The sequence below is a fragment of the Homo sapiens genome, chromosome 17 (genome assembly GCF_000001405.40).
Source record: "Homo sapiens chromosome 17, GRCh38.p14 Primary Assembly".
NCBI lineage: Eukaryota > Metazoa > Chordata > Mammalia > Primates > Hominidae > Homo > Homo sapiens.
The window spans coordinates 81,649,099-81,674,559 of NC_000017.11; the positions used below are offsets into that span (position 1 = coordinate 81,649,099).

Consider the following 25,461-nt stretch of genomic DNA (forward strand, 5'->3'; position numbering starts at 1 on the left):
AGACAGGGTCTCGCTCTGTCACCCAGGCTGAAGTGCAGTGGCAGGGTCTCAGCTCACTGCAGCCTCCGCCTCCCTAGCTCAAGCAATCTCCCACCTTAGCCTCCTGAGTAGCTGGAACTACAGGGGCCCGCCACCACGCCCAGACAATTTTTTGTATTTTTTTTATTTTTATTTTTTGAGATGGAGTTTCGCTCTTGTTGCCCAGGCTGGAGGGCAATGGCACGATCTTGGCTCACCACAACCTCTGCCTCCCAGGTTCAAGTGATTGTCCTGCCTTAGCGTCCCAAGTAGCTGGGATTACAGGCATGGGCCACCATGCCTGGCTAATTTGTATTTTTAGTAGAGACAGAGTTTCTCCATGTTGGTCAGGCTGGTCTCGAACTCCTGAGCTCAAATGATCTGTCCACTTTGGCCTCCCAAAGTGCTGGGATTACAGGTGTGAGCCACGGTGCCCAGCCTCATTATTGTTATTTTCTTTTTTTTTGTTTGTTTGTTTGTTTTATTTTTTGAGACGGAGTCTCGCTCTGTCACCCAGGCTGGAGTGCAGGGGCACGATCTCGGCTCACTGCAAACTCCGTCTCCTGGGTTCACGCCATTCTCCTGCCTCAGCTTCCCAAGTAGCTGGGACTACAGGCGCCTGCCGCCACGCCTGGCTATTTTTTTTTTTTTTTTTTTTTGTATTTTTAGTAGAGACGGGGTTTCACCGCGTTATCCAGGATGGTCTCGATCTCCTGACCTCGTGATCTGCCTGCCTCAGCCTCCCAAAGTGCTGGGATTATAGGCGTGAGCCACCGCACCCAGCCTATTGTTATTTTCAAATACAGACAGGGTCTTGCTATGTTGCCCAGGCTGGTCTTGAACTCCTGGACTGCAGTGATCCTCCCGCCTTGGCCTCCTAAAGTGCTGAGATTATAGGCATGAGCCACTGTGCCCAGATACAGCCAGTTTTAGTGGGCACTGTCTAAGGACGAGCTGGCTGGGTGCTCTGGGGGAGTTGCTAGTGTCACTGTGCCTCAGTTTCTCTCTTGTGAGGTGGGAGTAGGAGCTCCGGCCTCACGGCGTGTGGTGTAAGCCATGTCCAGTCTCACCTTCTCTGTGTGGCCTGTTCCAGCCACCTGCATGCTTCATTGACTATGGCCCCTGGGTGTGCACCAAGGCCTTCTGCCTTGACCCAGCCATGGCCTGACATTGCGTGTCTTGGGGCCACCAGCAAGGCTCAGTGAGAGTGTGAGCCCAAGGGCTGTCTTCCCACTCAGGCAGGCCAGCCCCTCCTGCCCCACTGCCCACCCCTTCCCCCATGTGCTCCGGCTCAAGTGACCCCACCACAGGCCCTGTCCCATGCACAAATATGCCACAGACAGGCAAGGACACACTAATTTTATTTTGAAATAGGGACTGCAAGGGCAGGCTGTATTGAGAAGGATGGCCCCCTGGTGTGATGAGCTTGGGGCCTCATCTGCTCACCGTGCACGCCCTGGAGTCCTGCTACCCAGCATGTCCAAACTAAGGGCACCCCCCTGGGAAGGGATGCAGAGACGGGGAGCTTCTCTGTATCCCCTTACAGGCAGGACAGGGGGCTGGGGTGCAGAAGCACTCTGGGGAGACCTGCCCTAGCTTTCCAGCTGGGAGGAGGGGACGATCTGGGGTCCAGCAGGCTCCCGGGCTGGGGTCCACTTCCCGTTCTCCCTGGGAGTGGAGACCGACCAAGCCTCTCTGTGGGCAGGACTGAGGGGTGGGCCTGTATCTCCAGATGTTGAGCAGGGCCTGGCCAGCCCCTGAGGGGGCATCCTAGAGGGAGGTGGTGGGCTCCTGGTGACTGGTATTAATATGTAGGGGGAGACCTGAGGTTGCAGTCCCATCCTGGTGTCCAGGTGCCATCTGGGCTAGGGAGGCATCTCCTCAACAGGAATCCTGAGCAGGGTTTAGAGCACAGTGGGCAGGAGGGGGAGGGTCTGGACTTCAGCAGGGCCTCGTGCTAGATGATGCCATATTGGGCCAGCTCGTGCAGCTCCAGGTGGTTGAAGGCCTCCCAAGGGCAGATGACTGTGATGTCTGTGGGAGAAACGGGCCACGGATCAGAGAGGATCCCACGGCCTAGGGACCCCCCCATCCCCTGTGGCCCTGTTTCCCACAGCCCAGGTGTAGCCCTACAGTGTGCTGAGCGGGGACGTGCGGACGCTGGAGTGGGGCCCTCCTCTGGGGACACACTGGCTGTGGGGGAAGGAGGGTGGGTGCAGCAGGTCCAGGGGAGGGAACCAGAGGAGGGTGGGGCTTGCTGAAGGGGGAGGAGGCAGCGAGGGGTTCTGTTCTTTCCCAAACCCCTCCCCTCACCTGGTGCAAGTGTCCCAAATGGGGACAGCCCCACCCTCTAGATCCAGTGGATCTGGAGCTCAGTGTTGGGGGAAGAAGTGATGGACAGGCTGGGGGTCCCTAAGTGAAAAGCAGGGGAGGTGGGGGCCGAGGTGGGCTGCAATGGGCCCCGGGCGTGCTGGGTGTGCCTGGGGGGACCTGGGCAGACCTCGGGTTGGTACTGGCAGCCGTCATACCTGTTCCCAGGCCTTCCATTCCAGGGATGTCGTCCCCAAACCTGCAAGGACAGAGCACTCAGGGACATGGCCGGGCCCAGTCCTGGCTCAGTCAGCCTGAGGCCCGAGGTCATCTCTAGCCTTCCTAGGAGATGAGGTGTTTGGCTGGGAGCCCAGTGGGCAGAGACCCGCCTCCTCCCCAACCTCCCAGGGCTTGGCGCATCTGAGGAGGCTTCCCTCACAGACCCAGGGTGAGTCTGCTGCCCAGAGCATCATGGGGCTGAGGCCTAGAAAAGGAGGTGCAAGTCCCAGGATGCTGGGCAGGTGCGTGCCCTGGGGGAGTACGGGGGGGTGCGTGGTTGGTGCATGGTCTGAGTGTAGATTTGTGAAGGTGGCTTGTCTGTGAGTGTGCCTCACGTGCATATGTGGAGGTGTGAGCGTGTTTGTGCATAAGAGTGTCATGCCCGTGTGTGCGCACACGTGTGAGTGGACACTCCTCGGTGCGTTGATGGGAGCGCGGTGCCTGTGTGCGCACACGAGTGAGTGGACACTCCTCGGTGCACTGATGGGAGCGAGATGCCCGTGTGTGCGCATGTGTGAGTGGACACTCCTCGGTGCATTGTGCCATGGCTGTCCCTGGGTGGCAGTGGTTGTATTTTTTTTATTTATTTGAGACGGAGTCTCACTCTGTCGCCCAGGCTGGAGTGCAGTGGCGTGATCTCGGCTCACCGCAAGCTCTGCCTCCCGGGTTCACACCATTCTCCTGCCTCAGCCTCCCGAGTAGCTGGGACTACAGGCGCCCGCCACCACGCCCGGCTAATTTTTTGTATTTTTTAGTAGAGACAGGGTTTCACCTTCTTAGCCAGAATGGTCTCGATCTCCTGACCTCGTGATCCGCCCGCCTCGGCCTCCCAAAGTGCTGGGATTACAGGCATGAGCCACCGCCCCCGGCCGTTTTGTTTTTTTGAGACGGAGTTTTGTTCTTCTTGTTGCCCAGCCTGGAGTGCAATGGCGCGATCTCAGCTCACCACAACCTCTGCCTCCTGGATTCAAGCGATTCTCCTGCCTCAGCCTCCTGAGTAGCTGGGATTACAGGCGTGCACCACCACGCCTGGCTAAATTTGTATTTTTAGTAGAGACAGGTTTCTCCATGTTTGTCAGGCTGGTCTCAAACTCGCGATCCTAGGGGGCTACTTTGGCAGGTATTAAAACTTTTTTTTAGGCCGGGCGCGACCTCAGGTGATCTGCCCACCTCAGCCTCCCAAAGCGCTGAGCCACCGCGCCTGGCCGGCAGTGGCTGTATTTTCAAGCATGGTTGGCAGTAGCATCTGGAGCGGGTGACAGGAGCCCCCAATTCCCCTTCCCCCTCCTCCATCCCTGCTCAGGCCCTCAGGCACCGCCCTACCTTCCCCAGCTGTGAGGCTGGGACCACTCACCCAGTGAAGTGGCCCCAGGCTCTGCCCCGCCCTCCCCTTCCTGTGCAGCCTCAGGACCGCCTCCTCCCTTTCAGAGGCCCCATCCCCCAGCTCTGCTTACCCTTGAACGCCTTTCTTTGGGGGCTTGCTCTTGAACTGCCTGGTCTGTCGCTGCTTAAATTTAGGGGGCCCTTTCCTGGGGGTGACAGGTCCCCCGGCCACCCTGGTGGCTGACCGGAACTCAGCCTTGGGCGGTTCCAGGTTCATGGTGAGGCTGACGGAGACACCGCGGCAACCTTGGCTCCTGGACTCCCTCCTGCTGCGGTCTGGGGGCAGACCAGGCCCGGGTCCCAGTCAGCCCTCCTGCTTCCAACCCTTGTGGGGGTCTCAACCCACCGGTGGAGGGGCTGAGACCCAGCCCCGCCAGCTCCAGCGTCATCCAGACAGCAGCCCCTGCAATCCGCCCTGGGGTAACCAGCCTGCCAGCTTTGCTTGGGTCCACCCGCACGCTCCCATTCCCCTTGCCTAGTGGATGCCCCCCTGCAACGCTGGCCACACACAGCTCCGGACTCCCCCCTGTCCTGGCCTCCCTCGCCCCGGCCCACAATCCACAGCAAACCTAGCCTCCCAACCTGTGGCAGGTCCTGAGCCTGGAGTCCTCACCACCTCCCTGTGGGTGACCACTGACAACTTCCTGCCCCTTCCCCTGCGTTCCCCACCCCAGGGAAGCGTGACTCCCGTCGGCATTTAACTGCTACTCTGGGTTTTTTTTTGTTTTGTTTTGTTTTTGAGACAGAGTTTTGCTCTTGTTGCCTGGGCTGGAGTGCAGTGGCACTATCTCGGCTCACTGCAACCTCCGCCTCCCGGGTTCAAGTGATTCTCCTGCCTCAGCCTCCCCAGCAGCTGGGATTACCGGCGTCTGCCACCATGCCCGGCTAATCTTTGCATTTTTGCATTTTTAGTAGAGACGGGGTTTCACCATGTTGACGAGGTTGTCTCGAACTCCTGACCTCATGATCCACCCGCCTCAGCCTCCCAAAGTGCTGGTATTACAGGCGTGAGCCACCGCACCCGGCCCAGCTGCTACTCTGATGAAAGTCCTCTGTGGCTCCTGCTGGGAATGGGCCTGCCAGGCCCAGCAGAGGAGCCTGCCTCTGAGCTGCCCTTCCTGATGGTTAGTGGGCTGCCTCCATCTCAAGTTCCCGCTCAGGGAGGTCTCCCCTGAACCCCCGCCCTGCAGCCACTGTGTCCTTAGGTTCTGATTTGCCGCTTCTCATCACGCGTCGAGTTAGCCCTGATTCCAGGCTGGTGGGCGTCTCCCGGGCTGTTGCCCTCTGATTCTTTTTTTTTTTTTTTTTTGAGACAGAGTCTTGCTCTGTCACCCAGGTTGGAGTGCAGTGGCGAGATCTTGGCTCACTGCAACTTCTGCCTCCCGGGTTCAAGTAATTCTCCTGCCTCAGCCTCCGGAGTAGCTCAGATTACAGGCATGCGCCACCACACCCAGCTAATTTTTCTTTGTGTTTTTAGTACAGATGGGGTTTCACCATCTTGGTCAGGCTGGTCTCAAACTCCTGACCTTGTGATCCACCCGCCTCGGCCTCCCAAAGTGCAGGGATTACAGGCGTGAGCCACCGCGCCCGGCCTAAAAAAGTTTTAATACCTGCCAAAGTAGCCCCCTAGGATCCTATTCCAGAGCTGTGGCTGGAATCTCACCTTTTTTTTTTTTTTAGACGGAGTCTCGCTCTGTTGCCCAGGCTAGAGTGCAGTGGCACGATCTCAGCTCACTGCAAGCTCCACCTCCTGGGTTCACGTCATTCTCCTGCCTCAGCCTCCCCAGTAGCTGGGACTACAGGCGCCCGACACCACGCCCGGCTAATTTATTTTTTTTTTTGTATTTTTTAGTAGAGATGGAGTTTCACCATGTTAGCCAGGATGGTCTCGATCTCCTGACCTCGTGATCCACCCACCTTGGCCTCCCAAAGTGCTGGGATTACAGGCGTGAGCCACTGCGCCCGGCCAACCCCTCTGATTCTTATTGATGGGTTTATTGCTTTCTGCCTCTTGTCTGTGCTTTGCAGTTGGGGTGCTGTCAGTTCCCTTCACCCACTCACGGAGGCATCCCTGAGCCCCTCAGCACCATGACGGGCACCCCGCAGTGCTGATGGAGAATGACCCACAAAATGGGGGGCAGGGTCCCCAGGCACGGCGCCCCTGGGAAAGGGGCCTGTCTCAGAGACTTGGTGCTGAGCTGTGAAGCCCTGCGTTCCCCAACCCCACTTCATAGAGGGACAAGCTGGGGCTTGGGGACGGAGGGTGCCGGGCATGTGTTCCCCCTGCTGGGGGAATCACCAGGCCCTCTCTGTGTCTGGAGTCAGCTCGGGGAGCAGGGTCACCCGCCTGGCGTGGCGTGGCGTGGCTGAAGGGCCTCGGCCGCTCTGGACGAGATCAGTGTCCCTGCACTGCTGCACAGGGTGGCCTCTCCTCCTCCTCTCCCTACAGCCTCTCCCCAGATGCCCTAAGCCCCAGTGACCTGGGCCAAGGGCAGTTCAGCTTCCCCTAAGCCTATTAACAGCAGAGGGGAATTCCTAATCTCCCATCGAGCTGCTGTCAGCTGCACATGCTGCCGGAAAGTTCTGGAAGGAGGCACATGACACAGACAGGAGGGGCTGCTTGCCCGCACTGGATGCCCCAGGGACCACCTCTTGGGGTCCCCTTTCCTGCCCCTGGTCTTTTTGGCTGGGATTCCTGACTCCAGCCCTGGGCTACTACCAGCTGTTTGCCGAGCTTCAGGCGTGAGAGTGATCAGAAAGCAAGGGCAGGTGGCCCATTTTGGGGACGCGGGCTCTGCAAGGGGTGCTGGGCACCTGGGATTGGGGTGGACCCTGCCATGGCACCTTCCCTCACTAAGGTTCAGCCTCTGTCCCCGGGACTGGGACCAGCACCAGCCTGTGCAAAACCAGCACTCAGGAGCCCGGTGGTCCCAGCTGCTCAGATCCCATGGCACCCAATCCTCATATCCTAGATAGCACAGGCCCCGTCCAGCTGCTTCTCCAGCCCTGGGACATGGGCTGTCCTGGGCAGCTCTGGGCCCTGATGGAGCTCCAACCATCAGATGCCATCCATGTGGAAACCGCTGCCTGCGCTGCCCTGGCCCGACCCAGCCTGTGACTGGCGTCCACTCAGGTCAGCTGAGCCCACGTGGCCTGAGGTTCCCAGACCATCACTGGCCTGGGGATGGTGGAAGCACTGGTTACCATGGGGGAGCAGAGGAGGAGGTTGGCTGGGAGTCCCCTCTGAATAACAGGGTGGCGGGTAGGCATCTGCAGACCCAGACCTCAGCCACGGTGGTAAAAGCCTGTCAGCTCCCTCTGCCCCTTGGGTGATGAGCAGACCCCCACTGACTCACTGGGGGAAGTGGCTGCCAGGAAAGACAGCGGGGTTGGCCACTACTCACCAAGTGCAGGGCGGGTCTCAGGGGGCTGTGCTGTGAGTGCTGGGCCTCCCTCCGCAGGGTGCCAGCCCCGGCCTTTATCTCGCTGCTTCATGAGCTGATTAGGCGTCTCAGTGCCACCCTAATGAGATTGTTGGGCCCCGAGGGGGGGCACAACCACCAAGGTTCAGGGGATGGAGAGGAGGGGCTCAGGTGCTGTCAAGGGCTCCAAGGAAGGACACCCAGCAGATGGGGCCGGGACAGGGAGAGAAGTGTGACCCTGAACAGCCAGGCTCCTGCAGCTGCCCATCTTCCAGATGGAAGCAACCACAGTGTCTGCTGTCTTGGGCCTCCCTACTGCCTTTCCTGACCCTGCCTGATCTCTGAAGGGCCCACCTTCATGGTCCCCAAAACCCTCTGCAGCCTGGCCCTCACCCGCTGCTGTGGCCTCACATCTCACCCCTCCCACCCCAGGGCCTTTGCACCTGCTGCTCCTGAAACCAAACAAGGACCCCCCCCCGCCCTTAGGGGCCTGTGGGTCTTCCCAAGCACAGAAGCAAGGACAATGTTGAGTTCCTTCAAGGGCAAGCCAGGCCCCCAGCCAGCCCAGAGAAGGAAATGAGCAGCCGATCCACAGGAAGGTCACAAGAAGGTCACAGGAGCTTAGAACAACAGATGGAAGCCAGAGTCCCGAGAGTCTCCACAGAAGCAAACCATGCCATCTTAGCAGGTGCTCCTCAGTTGTTTTCCAGAAACAGGGACTCCCACCAAAGGGGCGTGCTGGCACACAGACCTCACATGAGCGGGAGCTGAGGACTGGCCTCTGACCACCCTTCTCTTACCTAAATTTCTTCCTGAGGGGCCTGGAGGAGGCTATGCCCATCCTGAGGGGCCTGGAGGAGGCCATGCCCACAACCCAGAGCTAACATTCTTTCCTGCGGATCCCAAAGTTTTAGACAAAGATTCGCTTCTGCACCAAATCAGAAAACCTTTGAATCCACCTATGACCCGTGGTCCCTGGCTTCAAGATCTCCTTGCTATTTATGGCAAAACCAGTGTACAACCTCCATGTACTGATTTATGACTTGCCTGTGACCTCTGCCTCTGCACCTTTAAAAACCCATAACTCAGGCCTGGTGTGGTGGCTCATGCCTGTAATCCCAGCACTTTGGGAGGCTGAGGCAGGTGGATCACAAGGTCAGGAGATCGAGACCATCCTTGCTAACATGGTGAAACCCCGACTCTACTAAAAATACAAAAAAATTAGCCGGGCGTGGTGGCATGTACCTGTAATCCCAGCTACTTGGGAGGCTGAGGCAGGAGAATGGCGTGAACCCGGGAGGCGGAGCTTGCAGTGAGCCGAGATCGCGCCACCGCACTAGAGCCTGGGCGACAGAGCGAGATTCTGTTTCAAATGAATAAATAAATAAATAAATAAATAAATAAAAACCCATAACTCGGCCGGGAGCAGTGGCTCTCAAACAGCGCTTTGGGAGGCTGAGGCAGGAGGATCACTTGAGGCCAGGAGTTCAAGACCAGCCTGGACAACATAGTGAGACCCCCCCATCTCTACAAAAAATAGAAAAAATTAGCTAGGTGCAGTGGCTCACTTCTTATTTTATTATTTCATTTTTGAGACTGAGTCTCGCTCTGTTGCCCAGGCTGGAGTGCAGTGGCCTGATCTCGGCTCACTGCAACCTCTGCCTCCTGAGTTCAAGTGATTCTCCTGCCTCGGCCTCCTGAGTAGCTGGGATTACAGGCTCCCACCACCACGCCCAGCTAATTTTTAATATTTTTAGTAGAGACAGGGTTTCACCATGTTAGCCAGGATGGTCTCAATCTCCTGACCTCGTGATCTGCCCACTTTGGCCTCCCGAAGTGCTGGGATTACAGGTGTGAGCCACCGTGCCTGGCCACAGTGGCTCACTTCTATAGACCCAGCTACTTGGGAGGCTGAGGCAGGAGGATCCCTTGAGCCTAGGAGCTCGAGGCTGCAGTGAGCCATGGTCAAACCACTCCAGCCTGGGGGACAGAGAGAGACCCTATCTCTGAAGAAATATGAAAATTTTGAAAAATTAAAAATAAAACCTGGACGGGCATGGTGGCTCACGCCTGTAATCTCAGCACTTTGGGAGGCCGAGGCAGGTGGATTACTTGAGATCAGGAGTTCAAGACCAGCCTGGCCAACATGGTGAAACCCTGTCTCTACTAAAAATACAAAAATTAGCTGGGCGTGGTGGCATGCACCTGTAGTCCCAGTTACTCAGGAGGCTGAGGCAGGAGAATCGCTTGAACCCAGGAGGTGGAGGTTGCAGTGAGCTGAGATTGCACCACTGCACTCCAGCCTGGGCAACAGTGAGACTCTGTCTCAAAAAATAATAATAAAAATATAAATAGTAAAATAAAATAAAATGTATGAGTACTCCTTTTTTGGTATCATGTATCACAGACAATATACAAAGACAATCACATGAAAATACATAAAGCTCCAAATAGACCTAAACAAAGACCCTATAGCCTTGATTGTAAAACTCTAGCCATGAGACTGGCAAAAATCACTAGTCCAGAAAGGACGGCTGGATTCAAGTTATGCTGCAATAAATGGAACAAGTCAAAAACCTCTTGTCCCACATGGCTCAATCCCTCACTCAGCCCCAGAGGAAACAAGATTGCAATCCATATCTTTTTTTTTTTTTTTTTTTTTTGAGAGACAGGATCTGGCTCTGTCACCTAGGCTGGAATGCAGAAGTGAAATATCGGTGGCTGCAGGAATTCAAGGCTGCAGAGAGCTATTATTGTACCATTGCACTTTAACCTGGGTGACAGAGCGAGACCTCAACTCTGAAATAGTAAAATAGGCCAGGCATGGTGGCTCATCCCTGTACTTTTGGAGGACGAGGTGGCTGGACCACCTGAGGTCAGGAGTTTGAGACCGGCCTGGGCAATATAGTGAAACCCCATCTCTACTAAAACTAAAAAAATTAGTGGGGCGTGGTGGCGGGCGCCTGTAGTCCCAGCTGCCAGGGAGGCTGCGGCAGGAGAATCATTTAAACCCGGGAGGCGGAGGTTGCAGTGAGCTGAGATGGCGCCACTGCACTCCAACCTGGGCGACAGAGGAAGACTTCATCTCAAAAATAAATAAATAATAAAAAAGAAATTAAACGGTGATGTGGAACACTCTTTAAATTGTCGTTCACCACATTTTCATATCTTCACAATAATGCAAAACACAGTCACTTGCAGAACCGGTTCTGATGACTTAAATACCAGGTACAATTTTAGCCCTCTACGTAATTGCTTGGAAGTTACTTATGTTTACATGAAATGAAACTATTAGGCCGGGCACATTGGCTCACGTCTGTAATCCCAGAACTTTGGGAGGCCAAGGTGGGCGGATCACCTGAGGTCAGGAGTTGGAGACCAGCCTGACCAACATGGAGAAGACCTGTCTCTACAAAAATACAAAATTAGCCGGGCGTGGTGGTGCATGCTTGTAATCCCAGCTACTCAGGAGGCTGAGGCAGGAGAATCGATTGAACCCAGCAGGCAGAGGTTGCAGTGAGCCAAGATCGTGCCATTGCACTTCAGCCTGGGCAACAAGAGCGAAACTTCATCTCAAAAAAAGAAAAGAAAAAAAGAAAAGAAACAAAATGAGACTATTAGGCTGGGCACGGTGGCTCACACCTGTAATCCAGCACTTTGGGAGGCTGAGGCAGGTGGATCAGCTGAGGCCAGGTGTTCGACACCAGCTTGGCCAACATGGCGAAACCCTGTCTCTACTAAAAATACAAAAAATTAGCCAGGCGTGGTGGCAGGTGCCTTAATCCTAGCTACTGGGGAGGCTGAGGCAGGAGAATTTTTTGAACTCGGTAAGTGGAGGTTGCAGTGAGCAGAGATTGTGCCATTGCTCTCTAGCCTGGGCGACAGAGACTCTGTCTCAAAACAAAAAAATGAAGCTATTAATACTTTTCTACAGCAGTAACTACACACAGGAAGACCAAGACAAGCACAAGTTAAGGAATGGAGCTTTCCCAAAGCGGCTGTGTATAAAGACTATAAACTGTTTTTTGTTTGTTTTTTGAGAACAAACAAACTCACTGCAGCCTTGACCTCCTCAGGCTCAAGCAATCCTGCCACATCAGCCTCCTGAGTAGCTGGGACTACAGGTGCTCACCACCACACCCGGCTAATTTTTGTATTTTTTGTAAAGATAGAGTCTCACTATGTTGCCCAGGGTGGTCTCAAACTCCTAGACTCAAGTGATCCGCCCGTCTCAGACTCCCACAGTGCTAGGATTACAGGCGTGAGCTGCCGTGCCCGGCCGGACATACGTAGTTTTTTGCCATGGCTTTTCTTGTGTTCTCTATCTACAGGCTAAGCAGATTCTGTGTGCTGCCCTGGGGTCTTTAATTACTTCAAGTGCTCATGTTGAACTATGAATATGATTGTGTGTGTGATTGTTTTGTTTTTAGAGACAGGGGTCTCTGCCACCCAGGCTGGAGTGTAGTGAGGCAATCATGACTTACTTCCGTCTTGACTTCCTGGCCCAAGTGATCCTCCTGCCTCAGCCTCCCAAGTAGGTGGGATTACAGGCACACACCACCATGCCCAGCTAAGTTTTTAAAAATTGTTTTGTAGGCTGGGCATGGTAGCTCATACCTGTAATCACAGCACTTTGGAGGCCAAGGCAGGAGCCCAGGAGTTTACGACCAACTTGGGCAACGTAGGAAGACCCCCATCTCCACATACAGACACAGACAAAAAACAATGAACCGGGCATGGTGGCACTTGCCTGTAGTCCCAGCTACTTGGTAGGCTAAGATGGGAAGATCACTTCAGCCTTGGCGGTTGAGGCTGCAGTGAGCTATGCCTGATGGTGGCAGGAGGCAGTCGAATGCCTAGGCAGATACGGGCAGGTCCCCAGTGAAACCCCACCTTCAAGCCAAAGACAAAAAGCCTGAAAGCCAGCCAGGCACAGTGGCTCATGCCTGTAATCCCAGCACTTTGGAAGGCAGAGGTGGGTGGATCACCTGAGGTCAGGAGTTCGGGACCAGCCTGGCCAATATGGTGAAACCCCGTCTCTACTAAAAATACGAAAATTAGCCAGGCATGCCGGGTGCAGTGGCTCACGCCTGTAATCCCAGCACTTTGGGAGGCTGAGGCGGGTGAATCACAAGGTCAGGAGTTCAAGACCAACCCTGGCCAAGATGGTGAAAGCCCGTTGCTACTGAAACTACAAAAATTAGCCATGCGTGGTGGTGGGTGCCTGTAATCCCAGCTACTTGGGAGACTGAGGCAGGAGAATCGCTTGAACCTGGGCGGCAGAGGTTGCAGTGAGCCCGAGATTGCGCCACTGCACTCCAGCCTGCGACAGAGTGAGACTCTGTCTCAAAAAAAAAAAAAAAAAAAAAAATCAGCCGGGCATGGTGGCAGGTGCCTGTAATCCTAGGTACTCGGGAGGTTGAGGCAGGAGAATCACTTAATCCCGGGAGGCAGAGGTTGCAGTGAGCCAAGATCGCACCACTACACTCCAACCTGGGTGACAGGGCGAGACTCTGTCTCAAAAAAAAGAAAATCTTTAAATCTACCTATGACCTGGAAGCCCCCTCCCTTCAAGTTGTCCCTCCTTTCCTGACCAAACCAATGTACATATGATAGGTATTGATTGATGTATTATGTCTCCCTAAAAAGTATAAAAGCAACATGTGTCCACGTTGGGCACATGTTGCCAGGACCTCCTGAGGCTGTCACAGGCATGTCGTCAACCTTCGCAAAATAACCTTTCCAAACTTATTGACCACTAAAGAACTCATCCCTGTAACCAAAACCTGCCTGTTCCCCAAAAAGTATTGAAATAAAAAATAAATAAATTGGCCAGGCATGGTGGCTCACACCTGTAATCCTAGCACTTCAGGAGGCTGAGGTGGGCAGATGGCTTGAGGTCAGGAGTTGGAGACCTGCCTGACCAACATGGCAAAACCACGTCTCTACTAAAAATATAAAAATTAGCCAGACGCTGTGGGGCACGCCTGTAGTCCCAGCTACTTGGGAGACTGAGGCAGGAGAATCGCTTGAACCCGCGAGGTGGAGGTTGTGGTGAGCCGAGATCGCGCCACTGCACTGCAGCCTGGGCCACAGAGCAAAACTTCATCTCAAATAAATCAGTAAGTAGATTCATTGAGGCCTGTCTCAGATACTTTTGGTTTATAGCTCTCACTAACTAAACAACTCATGAAAACTAAGCAGTTGGCCGGGCACAGTGGCTCATGCCTGCAATCCCAGCACTTTACAGGGCCGAGGCAAGTGGATTACCTGAGCCTAGGAGTTCAAGACCAGCTGGGTGATATGGCGAAACCCCGTCTCTAGTAAAAATACAAAAAATTAGCTGGATGTGGTGGCACGCGCCTGTAGTCCCAGCTACTTGTGTGGCTGAGGCAGGAGAATGGCTTTGAACCCAGGAGGCGGAGGCTACAGAACTAAGCAGTCCGCGGACTTGCTTTGGGGATCCTGGGTACCAAAAATATGGACCTGGGTCTTTGGGCGACTTGGTGGGGAGTGGCATCCCACGAGCACAGGATGAGGAATCTTACTTCGGGAATTCTTGCTGAGAAAAGTGCGTCGGCAAGGCCGCCCAGCAGAGAGGAATTCATTCACCGGCTCAGGTTGTCTTAGATAATAGGGTAGCTGTAGATTACATCTTAGGTGAGCAGGGAGGACCACATAAGGTTGCAAATCCCACATCCTGTACTTACACACATGAATCTGCAAAGATTAAAAACCCATGTAGGTGACATTAGAGAACAGGCCACTTGGTTATGGCAGGTTTCCCTGACTGCCACTGAGAACTGTTTTCTTTCCTTGTTTTCTTAGATTTCTTATGGAATAATCCACATTTTCAGGATTGCTAAACTTAGGCATGTCAGCCTTGCTAATTTTTTTTTTTTTTTAGGCGGAGTCTCGCTCTGTCACCCAGGCTGGAGTGCAGTGGCGTGATCTCAGCTCACTGCAAGCTCCGCCTCTCGGCTTCACGCCATTCTTCTGCCTCAGCCTCCTGAGTAGCTGGGACTACAGGCGCCTGCCACCACGCCCAGCTAATTTTTGTATTTTTAGTAGAGACAGGGTTTCACCATGTTAGCCAGGATGGTCTCAATCTCCTGACCTCATGATCAGCCCGCCTTGGCCTCCCAAAGTGCTGGCTTTACAGGCGTGAGCCACCGCGCCTGGCCGGTTTTTTTTTTTTTTCTTTTTGAGATAGAGTCTTGCTCTGTCACCCAGGCTGCAGTGTAGTGGCATAATCTCAGCTGACTGCAACCTCTGCCTCCCAGGTTCAAGCAATTCTGCCTCAGCCTCTCGAGTATCTGGGACTACAGTTGTGTGCCACCATGCCCCACTAACTTTAGTATTTTTTTTTTTGAGATGGAGTCTTGCTTGCTGTCGCCCAGACTGGAGTGCAGTGGTGCCATCTCAGCTCACCGCAACCTCCACCTCTAGGTTCCAGCAATTCTCCTGCCTCAGCCTCCTGAGTAGGTGGGATTATAGGCACCCGCCACCGTGCCCAGCTAATTACTGTAATTTCAGTAGAGAAGGGGTTTCCCCACGTTTGGCCAGGCTGGTCTCAAACTCCTGATCTCAGGTGATCCACCCACCTAGGCCTCCCAAAATGCTGGGATTACAGGCGTGAGTCACCACGCCTGGCCACGTCCTGCTGCTCTTACCAACTCCCCTGGGAGCTGCGGCTGAAGGAGCTGGAAGGACTGGTTCCAGGTAGTGCTTGGGCCACTGAGGGCTGATCTGCAGCCCCTGCCAGGCTGGTGGAAGGGCACCCGAGGACCCCTGCCAGGGATTGATGGCAGCTGGACAGATGGGCACTTCCAGGCTGCCTGTGGGCTTCTGTGCCTGCCAAAGGCTTTGCCACAGTGACTCAATGAGATCAGATGGCCTTCCCTCTGCTGCACGCTGAGAGCAACCAGAGCAGGCCTTTGCCAGGACTTGGGGGAAGGTGGGACCTGGCCTGGAAGGGGCACTGGGGTCACTGTCATTTGACTGTTCAACGAAAAGGGGTCCTATTTATTGAGTCAGAGTTTCACTCTCGTCACCTAGGCTGGAGTGCAGTGGCATGACCTCAGCTCACTGCAACCTCTGCCTCCTGGGTTCCTCAGCTTCCTGAGTAGCTGGGATTACAGGCGCCTGCCACCACACCTGGCTAATTTTTGTATTTTTAGTAAAGATGGGATTTCACCATGTTGGTCAGGCTGGTCTCCATCTCCTGACCTCATGATCTGCCCGCCTCAGCCTCCCAAAGTGCTGGGATTACAGGTGTGAGCCACCACACCCGGCTGGGGGTCTTATTTTCACCACACTCGGCTGGGGGTCTTATTTTACCCTCATGGCAGGGTGATGGCTGCAAGAGCTCCGGAGGTGCATAATGCCGACCTGGACCTGCTCGCTTTGAAGATGCAACACAAGCCTTACGGACAACCACACAAAAGCCTCCTGTTGAGGCCAAATCAGCAGCCATTCTGGTTGGCAGACATACTGCCAAAAAAACCACCCCCAAAACAAAAACCTCCTGTGAAACCACCATAGAGAATTTATTTTTTTCTCAGGTGAAGTCAGTAACTAATTCTTCCTATTCCCGTTGGACACAAGGAGTCTGTGAGGGGGTGTGAAGGAAGGAGGCTGCGGCTGCGTCCTGGACTCCGTCCTGCGGTAGGGAGTCCAGCAGGGATGGCTCAGCCTCCGCACCTGGTGTGCAGCCGGATCTCCATCCTGAGGAAGGCCTTGAGGTTCTCATCAGCCACGTGCTCCTCCAGGGCAGCCAGGGCCCGCTCCCCACCGTCCTGGAAGTGCTGCAGCAGCCTGTCCGCGTACTCCACCCACACGCAGTTGGGGCAGCCACTCATGCAGCAGTTTGTGGGCGGCTGGAGCTCAGGTGGCAGCGATGCCTTGGGCGGCCTGGTGCCGTCCGCACCTGCTTGGGAGCCCACCTCTACGTGGTCTGTCCCGAATTTTCTGCGCCCATCAGGGGCTTGCGCTCCGGGATGGTGCCTTTGAAGAAAGCTGCCACCTCCAGGAAGCCTCTGGCAGCAGTCCGGGCTGGAGAACCGGCGAGCCCCCTGAGGATGCAGACAAACATGTGACTCTCCAGGAAGCTGGTGAGGCCCGGTCTACCCCCAGCAGTGAGGACATTTCAGCTCTCCTGTCATTGGGCAACTGGCTCCATGTCCTCAGCTTTTTCACTTCCTGTGACTTTAGACATGTTATTTCACCTCTCTAGACTCAGTTTCCCCACTGTGCAATGGAAGTCATGGGTATGACACGGTGTGATTCACAAGAAGTGCCAGGATCAGGGCCTGGCGCCGGGTGTGCACTCAAGCACATGGTGGGGGGTGGGGGAGGCACTCGACACCTCCAGCTAAGATGGCTGCTCTGTGGACACCAGTATGCGAGAGGTGTAACCCTGTAAGCTCCTGGCCAGCCCAGCACCTCTACCAGTATAACCAAGCCCCACCACCTCTGAGGGACCAACCGGAAGAATCGCACCACCCTTTATCCAAGTTTCCCTGTCACAAAGCCCAGGCCTCTCAGGCCCCTCTCATCCCAGCGTGAATGTCCTATAGGCAGTCTTCCGTCGCTGCCCTGCTCTATCTACCCAGGATCACGGACTGACACGCTACCAACTTCACTTATTTAACTAGTCCTGCGAGGGGCATCATCCGCTCCATGTCCACGGCCAGTCCCCAGAGCCCAGGAGGGCTCGCACACAGGCGCTCGGCAGATACTGAGAAACAGGAAAGTGGCCGTTCACCGGGCTGCTTCCTCTCCCAAGGCTAAGCGGCCCCTCCACAGATTCCGGGGCGGGGACTCGGTAAGAGCCGATGGAGGAGAGGAGCGAGGGGTCCTTCGGCGGCGGCCAGCGCGCGATCCTCCCGGCTCCGTCCCCACATGCGGGTGGAGGGGCCGGGGCTCCTCCCGGTACGTGCGGGCCCCCGGACAGCGGCCTCTCGGACGTGCCCTTCGGCGCTGCCAAGACCCGTCCTGGTACTTGCCGAGCCACGGACCGCGGCGGCTACCGCCCGGCCTCCCTCGACCACCCTCCGCAGCAGCATCGCCCGCGGACGGGATCCGGCAACCCCTGACCGTGAGCGGCGGGCGCTCCGGCCAATCCCGGACCTTCAGGAAGTCGCGCCGCTCCAGCCAGCGTGAGGCTGAGCGCAGGAAGCGGAAGTGCCGATCGGTGGGGCGGAACCATGCAGGAAGGCGGAAGTGGCTTCGCTAGGGAGCCTCCCGGCGTGGAGATGGCGGGAGCTGGTCGCGGAGCAGCGGTGTCCAGGGTGCAGGCGGGTCCTGGGAGTCCCCGGCGAGCGCGGGGGCGGCAGCAAGTGCAGCCGCTGGGGAAGCAGCGCCCAGCCCCGTGGCCCGGGCTTCGCAGGTGACTGCGCTGCCCCGCGAGGCCGCCACACTTCCCCAGAGAAGGGGACGCCTTGAAGGCTCCGCCCGGGACCCCCTAGGGAGCGTTCGCTCGGACCCCTTCCCCAGGTCGGGCTCAGTGCCCTCCTCTGTCTGTGCCCGCGGCCCACGCTCCGCCAGGATCGGTTGAATGAATGGAGGCGCGAGCGAGTCCTTGGTTTTGCCTTTCCCGCGTCCCAGTGTCCCGTCTTTGTGGTTCTGGACGAGGTCAGGGCGGAAAGGCCTCCTGGGCTTTCGGAGTGCCTTTCGGCCTCGCGTCCCGTGAGGAAGGGGTTCAGGGACAGCCACTGAGTGAGACCGAGAGGAAAGATCCCTGCTCCCTGGACTGCTGGACCGGCTCGCACCACAGAAGCCAGATGTGGCCCCTGTATAGATAGATTCTTTTTTTTTTTTTTTTTTTGAGACGGAGTCTCACTCTGTCGCCCAGGCTGGAGTGTGGAGTGCAGTGGCGCGATCTCGGCTCACTGCAAGCTCCGCCTCCCGGGTTCACGCCATTCTCCTGCCTCAGCCTCCCGAGTAGCTGGGACTACAGGCGCCCGCCACCACGCCCGGCAAATTTTTTGTATTTTTAGTAGAGACGGGGTTTCACTGTGTTAGTCAGGATGGTCTCGATCTCCTGACCTCGTGATCCGCCCATCTCGGCCTCCCAAAGTGCAGGGATTACAGGCGTGAGCCACCAAGCCCGGCCAGCCCGTGTAGATTCTATTGCCAGACCCAACTATTGTTTCTCTTACTGATTCTGCTTGTGCTTTACTTGGGACGGGTCTCACCCCCGTGTTCTTTCTCCCAGCAAAGAGAAGAAGAAAGTGAACTGCAAGCCCAAGAACCAGGACGAACAGGAGATTCCTTTCCGGCTCCGGGAGATTATGAGGAGCCGCCAAGAGATGAAAAACCCGATCAGTAACAAGAAGAGGAAGAAAGCAGGTGTGTGCAGGCCCATACTGGGCGGCAGTGAAGCTTTGTGTGTCTCAACCCGCCCAATCGCCCAAATACTTCAGAACGTTTCAGGCAGAGGAAATATGCCAAGACCCGGTGCTCAGAAGGTGGGGGAGCGTGGCCAAAGCTAAAGCAGTGGCTGGCAGCTGGTGGCGCTGTGGTTCCAGACGAGGCTTGGAAGGAGGCTGTGGGGTGGGCGGGGAGGACCCGTTATGGGGCCTCAGGATCCATGCTAAGGAGCGGCGTTTTTTTCTCCCCAAAAGTAGCGAAGATTCATCAGAGTTTTTAGCAGGGCACGGCCAATTCATGTTTACTCTAAGCAAAAAAAGGGTCACCGAGCGATGATGGAGTGAGGGAGAGTGGACCTGGCAACTGGCGGGGCTACTGCCAGGGAGAAGCCATGATTCTTGGGACAAGAGTGCTGAAGCAATGGTAGAGAGAAGTGGGTGGAGTCAGGAGCTGAAGGAGGAAATTCCATCAGGCCCCTCTGAGAAGTCTTGCCTTCCTCCCCCAAGTCTGGGTAGGGTGTCCACATGTCCACCGCTGCAACCCAGAGGTAACACTCTGGGCATGTTGGGAAACGGAGTCCACTGTGTGTATATTTTGCTTATAGACACATTTCTCTTCCCAAACGTGGCACTGGTTTTACAGCAAAGCTGTTTTATAATTTGTGTATAAACTGTAGGCTTCTTGTTGGGGGTTATATGGCTGCCAAAGGGATAGTGAGATAGAGGTGAGGAAGGTGCAGGGAGGAGGCGCACTGGCCTGGGTAGCACATGGCACGTTCTGAACCGTGCTGCATTGAATTGGCACCTTTGTTTGTTTGTTTATTTATTTATTTATTGAGATGGAGTCTTGCTTCCTCGCCCAGGCTGGAGTGCAGTGGCGTGATCTGGGCTCACTGCAACCTCCACCTCCTGGGTTTAAGCAGTTCTCCTGCCTCAGCCGCCTGAGTAGCTGGGATTACAGGTAACGCACCACCATACCCAGCTAATTTTTTGTGTGTGGTTTTTTTTTTTTTTTTTGAGACAGTCTCCCTCTAGCCCAGGCTAGAGTGCAGTGGCACAATCTCAGCTCACTGCTACCTCTGCCTCCCCTGTCCCAGTTCCAGTGCAAGCAATTCTCCTGCCTCAGCCTCCCGAGTAGCTGAGATTACAGGCACACGCCACCAAGCCCAGCTAATTTTTGTATTGTTAGTAGAGACGAGGTTTCACCATGTTGGCCAGGCTGGTTTTGAACTCCTGACCTCAAGTGATTTCCCCACCTCAGCCTCCCAAAGTGCTGGGATTACAGGTGTGAGCCACTGTGCCTGGCCTTTTTTTTTTTGGAGACAGAATATCGGCTCACTGCAACCTCCACCTTCCAGGTTCAAGCAAGTCTTGTGCCTCAGCCCCCCCAGTAGCTGGGATTACAGGCCTGTGCCACCATGCCCGGCTCGTTTTTGTATTTTTAGTAAAGGCTGGGTTTTGCCATGTTGGCCAGTCTGGTTTCGAACTCTGGCCTCAGGTGATCCGCCCACCTCAGCCTCCCAAAGTGCTGGGATTACAGGTGTGAACCACCATGCCTGGCAATATGCATGTCTTCACATATTTATGAACACAACCACCTGCCTGGCACTGTCCGCCTCCTGTGTTCTACACTCGCCCGGGGTCCTGCGCTTGCGTTCTCAGTGGATGTCATAGGTCTGCCCACGTTTCTTTTTTGAGATGGAGTCTCGCTCAGTCGCCCAGGCTGGAGTGCAGTGGCGCAATCTCGGCTCACTGCAAGCTCCGCCTCCCGGGTTCACGCCATTCTCCTGCCTCAGCCTCCCGAGTAGTTGGGACTACAGGCGCCCACCACCATGCCCAGTTAATTTTTTCTGTGTTTTTAGTAGAGACAGGGTTTCACCGTGTTAGCCAGGATGGTCTGAATCTCCTGACCTTGTGATCTGCCCATCTTGGCCTCCCAAAGTGCTGGGATTACAGGCATGAGCCACCGCGCCCGGCAGGTCTGCCCACGTTTCTCTGTGTAGCTCCACTGGGCTTCTTTCGGCAGCTGTGCAATGGAGTCTGTGGGTGATCAGAGGAGAATTCATTCAACCAGCCACCTAGGGGTGGACATTAGGTTGTTTCTGCTTTCCTTTTTCAGCTGTGCTGCAGTGGACATCTGTGACAGGTGCCATTGGGCTGGGGGGTCACGTCCCCGGGGATGCCGGGCCGGGCATTCTACATCCTCTTCAGCTGCTGTCGTTGGGGTGCTTCCAGCCAGCCTGGTCTTCCCTTCCTGTGGCTTTGGGAGGGGAAATGAGCATGGGTCACCTGCCTGCCACTGTCTGCCTCCTGCCTCCTCTGAGGCCTCCCTTTGTCCTCAGCCCAGGTGACCTTCAGAAAGACATTGGAGAAGGAAGCAAAGGGAGAGGAGCCCGACATCGCAGTCCCCAAGTTCAAACAGAGGAAGGGGGAGTCTGACGGGGCCTATATCCACCGCATGCAGCAAGAGGCCCAGCATGTGCTGTTCCTCAGCAAGAACCAGGCCATCCGGCAGCCAGAGGTGCAGGCAGCTCCCAAGGAGAAGTCTGAGCAGAAAAAAGCAAAAAAAGCGTGAGTGGAGGCGGGAGGGGGAGGGGTCTGCCCTGGGAGCCGGAGGGAAGACATTGGGTTCCCATGACGGCCCTCTGCAGGTACCCTGTTTCATAGCCATGGGGCAGCCTGGATTCAGGGAGACCAAGCCAGAGCCCTGGGAGTTGGCGAGTCGGAGCATCCAGCTGGGAGCCAGTGAGGGTGTGGCCTCCAGGAGGCTGCGGAACCTGGGAACTCTGCGGAGACCTCGCTTGGTCCTTGCTTTCACAGGAAAAGCACCAGAAAGCCCTAGCCCTGTGGGAATCAGCCCTGAGGGGGTCGGTCTGAGGGTGACGTGCCCAGGGGTTCTGTTTCCATTAGAACAGAATGTCTCTCGTCCAAGAGACTACACCTTCCTAATTCTCTAAAAGCTTTGGCCGAGTACAGTGGCTCACGCCTGTAATCCCAGCACTTTGGGAGGCTGAGGCAGGTGGATCACGAGGTCAGGAGATCGAGACCATCCTAGCCAACACGGTGAAACCTTGTCTCTAATAAAATACAAAAAAAAAAATTAGCCGGGCGTGGTGGTGCATGCCTGTAATTCCAGATACTTGGGAGCCTGAGGCAGTGGAATCGCTTGAATCCGGGAGGCAGAGGTTGCAGTGAGCTGAGATCGTGCCGCTGCACTCCAGCCTGGTGACAGAGCGAGACTCCATCTCAAAAAAAAGAAAAAAAAAAAAAAGCTTTGAAGGTTTGAGAGGTTGCTTTCAGCTCTGTAGATTCCCTGTTTCTGGATTGTTGTATTACTTATAGTTACCTTAGCCAGTGAAAGTTCATCACAGAGAACGTGGCCCAGATACAGCCTGGCGCCACGGTGATCTCCAGAGCTGTCGCTGAAGGTGAAGCTTCCAGATTCACATTGAGGGAGACGTGATATACAATGCTTGTTAGGCCCTTTAGACACAGCAGCACCGGATGGGCTGGATGAGTCTCTGTTGGGTGGTCTTTGGCAGCCTTCCCAGCCTTCGTGCACAAGGTGCCAGTAGCCCTTGCCCACGTGTCTGCACACATTGTCAGATGTTCCCTGGCAGGTAGCTGTCCCCAGCTGAGAACCACTGGGGGACCTGTGAGGGGCCTGTTGGGGTCAGAGCCTTCTTTGGTGGGCAGCTGTGGGTTTTGGGGTGGTAAGGGGAGCGGGGACTTGGAGGCAGCCACCTGTTCTTGGGTCCCTGCTCTGCCACAGGGGATCCCTTGTGGGTGGGGCGGCCTCTGCCTCCTCCCTGGGTGGAAAGAGAATTTAGGAATCTGAGTGACATGTGCTTTCTTCCCCAGGTTCCAGAAGCGGCGACTAGATAAAGTCCGACGGAAAAAGGAGGAAAAGGCGGCAGACAGGCTGGAGCAGGAGTTGCTCCGAGGTAGCTCTTCCCAAAGCGATGGTGTCAGCAGTGGTCCGGGTGGGGCCTGGGCGCAGGCCTTCTGTTCCCCACCAGCCCTGGCTGCACTGGGCACCTGTGGTTTCCCCTGGGGTCCACAGCCATTAGACCACTGGATGAGTTGGTGTTCTGTCCCAGCCCTATGGGAGGGAGGTGGGCGGGTGGTGGCTCTGGGTGTCAGGGGTGCAGTGGCTGTGGGCAGCAGTCCTCAGTTGTATTCTGCTCCTCCAGACACGGTGAAGTTTGGTGAGGTTGTCCTGCAGCCCCCAGAGCTGACTGCCAGGCCCCAGAGGAGCGTAAGCAAGGACCAGGTAAGTGGGGCACGGGGACAACTTGAGTTTGTCCCCCAGTGCTGCCAGGGAACAGAAGCCTTGGACAGGCTGGACACGGTGGGTCACACCTGTAATCCCAGCACATTGGGAGGCCAAGGCAGGCGGATTGCTTGAGCCCAGGAGTTGATACCAGCCTGGACAACATAGCGAGATCCTGTGTCAAGAAAAAAAAAAACCCTCAGCCAACGTGTGCGCTGTCTGGTGTGTGGCCTGAGAGTGCAGTGTTCTCGCTGGCGGGAGAGCTGTTGAAGCTGTGAGGCTTTCTGTTGCATCCCCTCCTTTCCCAGCCTGTGCCTCACCCTCCCCTCTCTCCCTCAGCCTGGCAGGAGATCGCAGATGCTGCGGATGCTTCTGAGCCCCGGTGGTGTGTCCCAGCCTCTGACCGCCTCCCTGGCCCGCCAGCGGATTGTGGAGGAGGAGAGAGAGCGGGCCGTGCAGGCCTACAGAGCGTTGAAGCAGCGGCAGCAGCAGCTGCACGGGGAGCGACCCCACCTCACTTCCCGGAAGAAGCCAGAGCCGCAGCTGTGATGGAGAGACACCCGGGGCCTGGCCACGCTCTGGGGCAACTGGCACCAGGAGCTGCTACACCTGGGTAGGAGAGAGGCAGGCCATGCCAGCAGTGTGGGGTGAGGCCTCCAGCTACTTGTTCACACGTTGGGCACTAGTGGGTCCACATCTTGCAGGGGGTGAGTGCCCGATGGACTAGGGCCAAGGCCTGGTTGACAGACGGCCCGTGGGGCCCGGTGTCACTCACAGCTCCATCTCTTTGTTTTGAACGTCCATTCTGAGTCTCAGCCCAGGTGGACCTTAGGAAGGGCTGGATCCCTGTCCCTGAACACCAAATACCGAGACAGCTGATGAGGCTGGCTCAGTGTGTGACGGAGGCCCCCGGGAGTCAGCAGAGCCGAGCGTACAGTGCACATCAGGCAGAGCAGGCCACGGGCAGGGACGACGCATCGGGACAGGGCTCTGCAGGGGACCGTGACTACAGGCCAGCTGTGAGTGGTCCCCTACAGAGGCTGCCCACCCAAGGTTTGGTTGGGGTGAAACATGATGACAACACATACACTTAAGAAGGTGGGAACCGGGGGCCGGGCGCGGTGGCTCACACCTGTAATGCCAGCACTTTGGGCAGCTGAGGCGAGTGGATCACCTGAGGTCAGGAGTTCGAACCAGCCTGGCCAACATGGTGAAACTGCATCTCTACTAAAAATACACGAAGAAAAAAAAAACAGTGGGAACAGAGTTGTCACCTACCTAACAGGGCTCTGAGAGAGCCGGGAGGCCCAAAGTGGCTGGAAGAAGGTAAAGGAAAAATCCTGTCTTGGGCTCAAGGTCACAGAGTGGGGCCCAGGGGGAGTTCCTGCTGAGGGCAGGGCCTTGCCAGGCTTCAGTCTCCAGTGCCAAAGGAGGAAATGCCCAGGCTGTCAGCATTTCCAGATGAGAGCAGAAGGGAGAAGCTTAAACCCAAGTCACACATCCAGCAATGGAGTCCGACAGCCCAGCACCATCTGGGAACTGAGAAGCACCTCTGCCCGGCCCCCACACCGTGTGGAAAGTGAGGAGCACCTCTGCCTGGCCGCCACCCCGTCTGGCAAGTGAGGAGCGCCTCTGCCCGGCCGCTGTGCAACCTTCCAAGTGTGAAGTGACAGCCTTGTGTGTGATGTTTTCTGCCTTCCCCAAGTTTGCACTTTCGACATTAAAGTTTACTTTTTAGTTAAAAGTTTTAAATTGGAGAATATATATTTAAAGTCAGGGCTGTTTTCCTCTTATGGGCATGTTTCCCACCTTGTGATGGACCTGGCGGCCCCAGCCCTCGCGTTGGGATGTTGTTTTTGCAGCAGCCAGAACTCAGCCCCAGATCACAAGCAGCAGCTGGAAGGGGGTGGCCTTTCCCTGGGAAAGGGCTGGGACGGCAGCGGGTGGCACTCCCACTCGCTCAATGCCTTTGGTTTTGGGTGTCAGATCGGCCCGTGTATGGCTAAGCAAAGGGATCCCACAGGGCTGGGAAAGCGCTCATGCTCTCCACTGCATCCATGATTCTCAGGTTTTAGCTGCTGGAAGGGAAACCCCTGGTGGTTTTTAGGGCCTCTTTGTTGCCCAGGCTGGGGTGCAGTGGCATAAGCACACTGCAGCAAGTTGTTGGGCTCAGGCAATCCTCCCACCTCAGCCTCCCAAGTACTTGGGACAACAGGTGCTCACCAACACACCCAAATAATTTTTTGTGCTTTTTGTATAGATGGGGTTTCGCCACGTTGCGCAGGCTGGTGTCGAACTTATGGACTCAAGGGATCCGCCTGCTTTGGCCTCCCAAAGTGCTGGGGTTACAGGCGTGAGCCACTGTACTTGGCATTTTTTTTTTTTTTCTGAGGCAGGGTCTTGC

The 25,461-nt window shown here is 55.9% G+C and overlaps 3 protein-coding genes across 16 annotated transcripts, besides 6 other annotated features; 1 reads left to right on the top strand and 2 right to left on the bottom strand.

The window, feature by feature from the left end:
• On the bottom strand, positions 1,361 to 14,029 carry PDE6G (phosphodiesterase 6G). 6 transcript variants are annotated; one of them, NM_001365724.1, is made up of 4 exons: positions 13,961 to 14,029; positions 4,062 to 4,266; positions 2,547 to 2,587; positions 1,361 to 2,052 (listed from the first exon to the last, which is right to left on the bottom strand). In NM_001365724.1, the coding sequence occupies exons 2-4, from the start codon at positions 4,205 to 4,207 to the stop codon at positions 1,976 to 1,978; spliced, it is 264 nt and encodes an 87-aa protein (NP_001352653.1). In that variant the 5' UTR covers positions 4,208 to 4,266; positions 13,961 to 14,029; the 3' UTR covers positions 1,361 to 1,975. The 6 variants fall into 6 exon arrangements, 4 of the variants coding, with proteins under 4 accessions (NP_001352653.1, NP_002593.1, XP_016880225.1 ...); NM_002602.4 differs by lacking the exon at positions 13,961 to 14,029 and adding an exon at positions 7,395 to 7,444; XM_017024736.2 differs by lacking the exon at positions 13,961 to 14,029 and adding an exon at positions 4,560 to 4,628.
• Positions 14,383 to 15,017: an enhancer, noted in NCBI's record as "H3K27ac-H3K4me1 hESC enhancer chr17:79630511-79631145 (GRCh37/hg19 assembly coordinates)". NCBI's record gives its function as "activates a minimal SCP1, AML or CMV promoter by ChIP-STARR-seq in primed H9 embryonic stem cells {active_cell/tissue: H9 hESC(primed)}" and the evidence as "EXISTENCE:reporter gene assay evidence [ECO:0000049][PMID:30033119]".
• Positions 15,938 to 17,507, bottom strand: OXLD1 (oxidoreductase like domain containing 1). 8 transcript variants are annotated; one of them, NR_130936.2, is made up of 2 exons: positions 17,057 to 17,507; positions 15,938 to 16,486 (listed from the first exon to the last, which is right to left on the bottom strand). NR_130936.2 is itself a non-coding variant. In NM_001039842.3 (2 exons), the coding sequence occupies exons 1-2, from the start codon at positions 17,477 to 17,479 to the stop codon at positions 16,103 to 16,105; spliced, it is 444 nt and encodes a 147-aa protein (NP_001034931.1). In that variant the 5' UTR covers positions 17,480 to 17,507; the 3' UTR covers positions 15,938 to 16,102. The 8 variants fall into 8 exon arrangements, 4 of the variants coding, with proteins under 4 accessions (NP_001034931.1, NP_001291924.1, NP_001291923.1 ...); NR_130937.2 differs by having other exon boundaries at positions 17,052 to 17,507; NR_130938.2 differs by having other exon boundaries at positions 17,048 to 17,507.
• Positions 16,433 to 16,542: an enhancer, noted in NCBI's record as "active region_12975". NCBI's record gives its function as "activates an Ori minimal core promoter by ATAC-STARR-seq in GM12878 lymphoblastoid cells {active_cell/tissue: GM12878}" and the evidence as "EXISTENCE:reporter gene assay evidence [ECO:0000049][PMID:35858748]".
• Positions 16,703 to 17,624: an enhancer, noted in NCBI's record as "H3K27ac-H3K4me1 hESC enhancer chr17:79632831-79633752 (GRCh37/hg19 assembly coordinates)". NCBI's record gives its function as "activates a minimal SCP1, AML or CMV promoter by ChIP-STARR-seq in naive H9 embryonic stem cells {active_cell/tissue: H9 hESC(naive)}" and the evidence as "EXISTENCE:reporter gene assay evidence [ECO:0000049][PMID:30033119]".
• Positions 17,203 to 17,522: a silencer, noted in NCBI's record as "silent region_9141". NCBI's record gives its function as "represses an Ori minimal core promoter by ATAC-STARR-seq in GM12878 lymphoblastoid cells {active_cell/tissue: GM12878}" and the evidence as "EXISTENCE:reporter gene assay evidence [ECO:0000049][PMID:35858748]".
• Positions 17,625 to 18,546: an enhancer, noted in NCBI's record as "H3K27ac-H3K4me1 hESC enhancer chr17:79633753-79634674 (GRCh37/hg19 assembly coordinates)". NCBI's record gives its function as "activates a minimal SCP1, AML or CMV promoter by ChIP-STARR-seq in naive H9 embryonic stem cells {active_cell/tissue: H9 hESC(naive)}" and the evidence as "EXISTENCE:reporter gene assay evidence [ECO:0000049][PMID:30033119]".
• CCDC137 (coiled-coil domain containing 137) lies at positions 17,639 to 24,801 on the top strand. 2 transcript variants are annotated; one of them, XM_047435910.1, is made up of 6 exons: positions 17,639 to 17,909; positions 18,631 to 18,764; positions 21,127 to 21,355; positions 22,646 to 22,728; positions 22,978 to 23,057; positions 23,397 to 24,801. In XM_047435910.1, exons 2-6 carry the CDS (start codon positions 18,707 to 18,709, stop codon positions 23,604 to 23,606), a joined length of 660 nt encoding a protein of 219 aa, XP_047291866.1. In that variant the 5' UTR covers positions 17,639 to 17,909; positions 18,631 to 18,706; the 3' UTR covers positions 23,607 to 24,801. The 2 variants fall into 2 exon arrangements, with proteins under 2 accessions (XP_047291866.1, NP_954981.1); NM_199287.3 differs by having other exon boundaries at positions 17,639 to 17,802.
• Positions 17,723 to 17,872: a silencer, noted in NCBI's record as "silent region_9142". NCBI's record gives its function as "represses an Ori minimal core promoter by ATAC-STARR-seq in GM12878 lymphoblastoid cells {active_cell/tissue: GM12878}" and the evidence as "EXISTENCE:reporter gene assay evidence [ECO:0000049][PMID:35858748]".
• Positions 24,802 to 25,461: the final 660 nt, after the last annotated feature.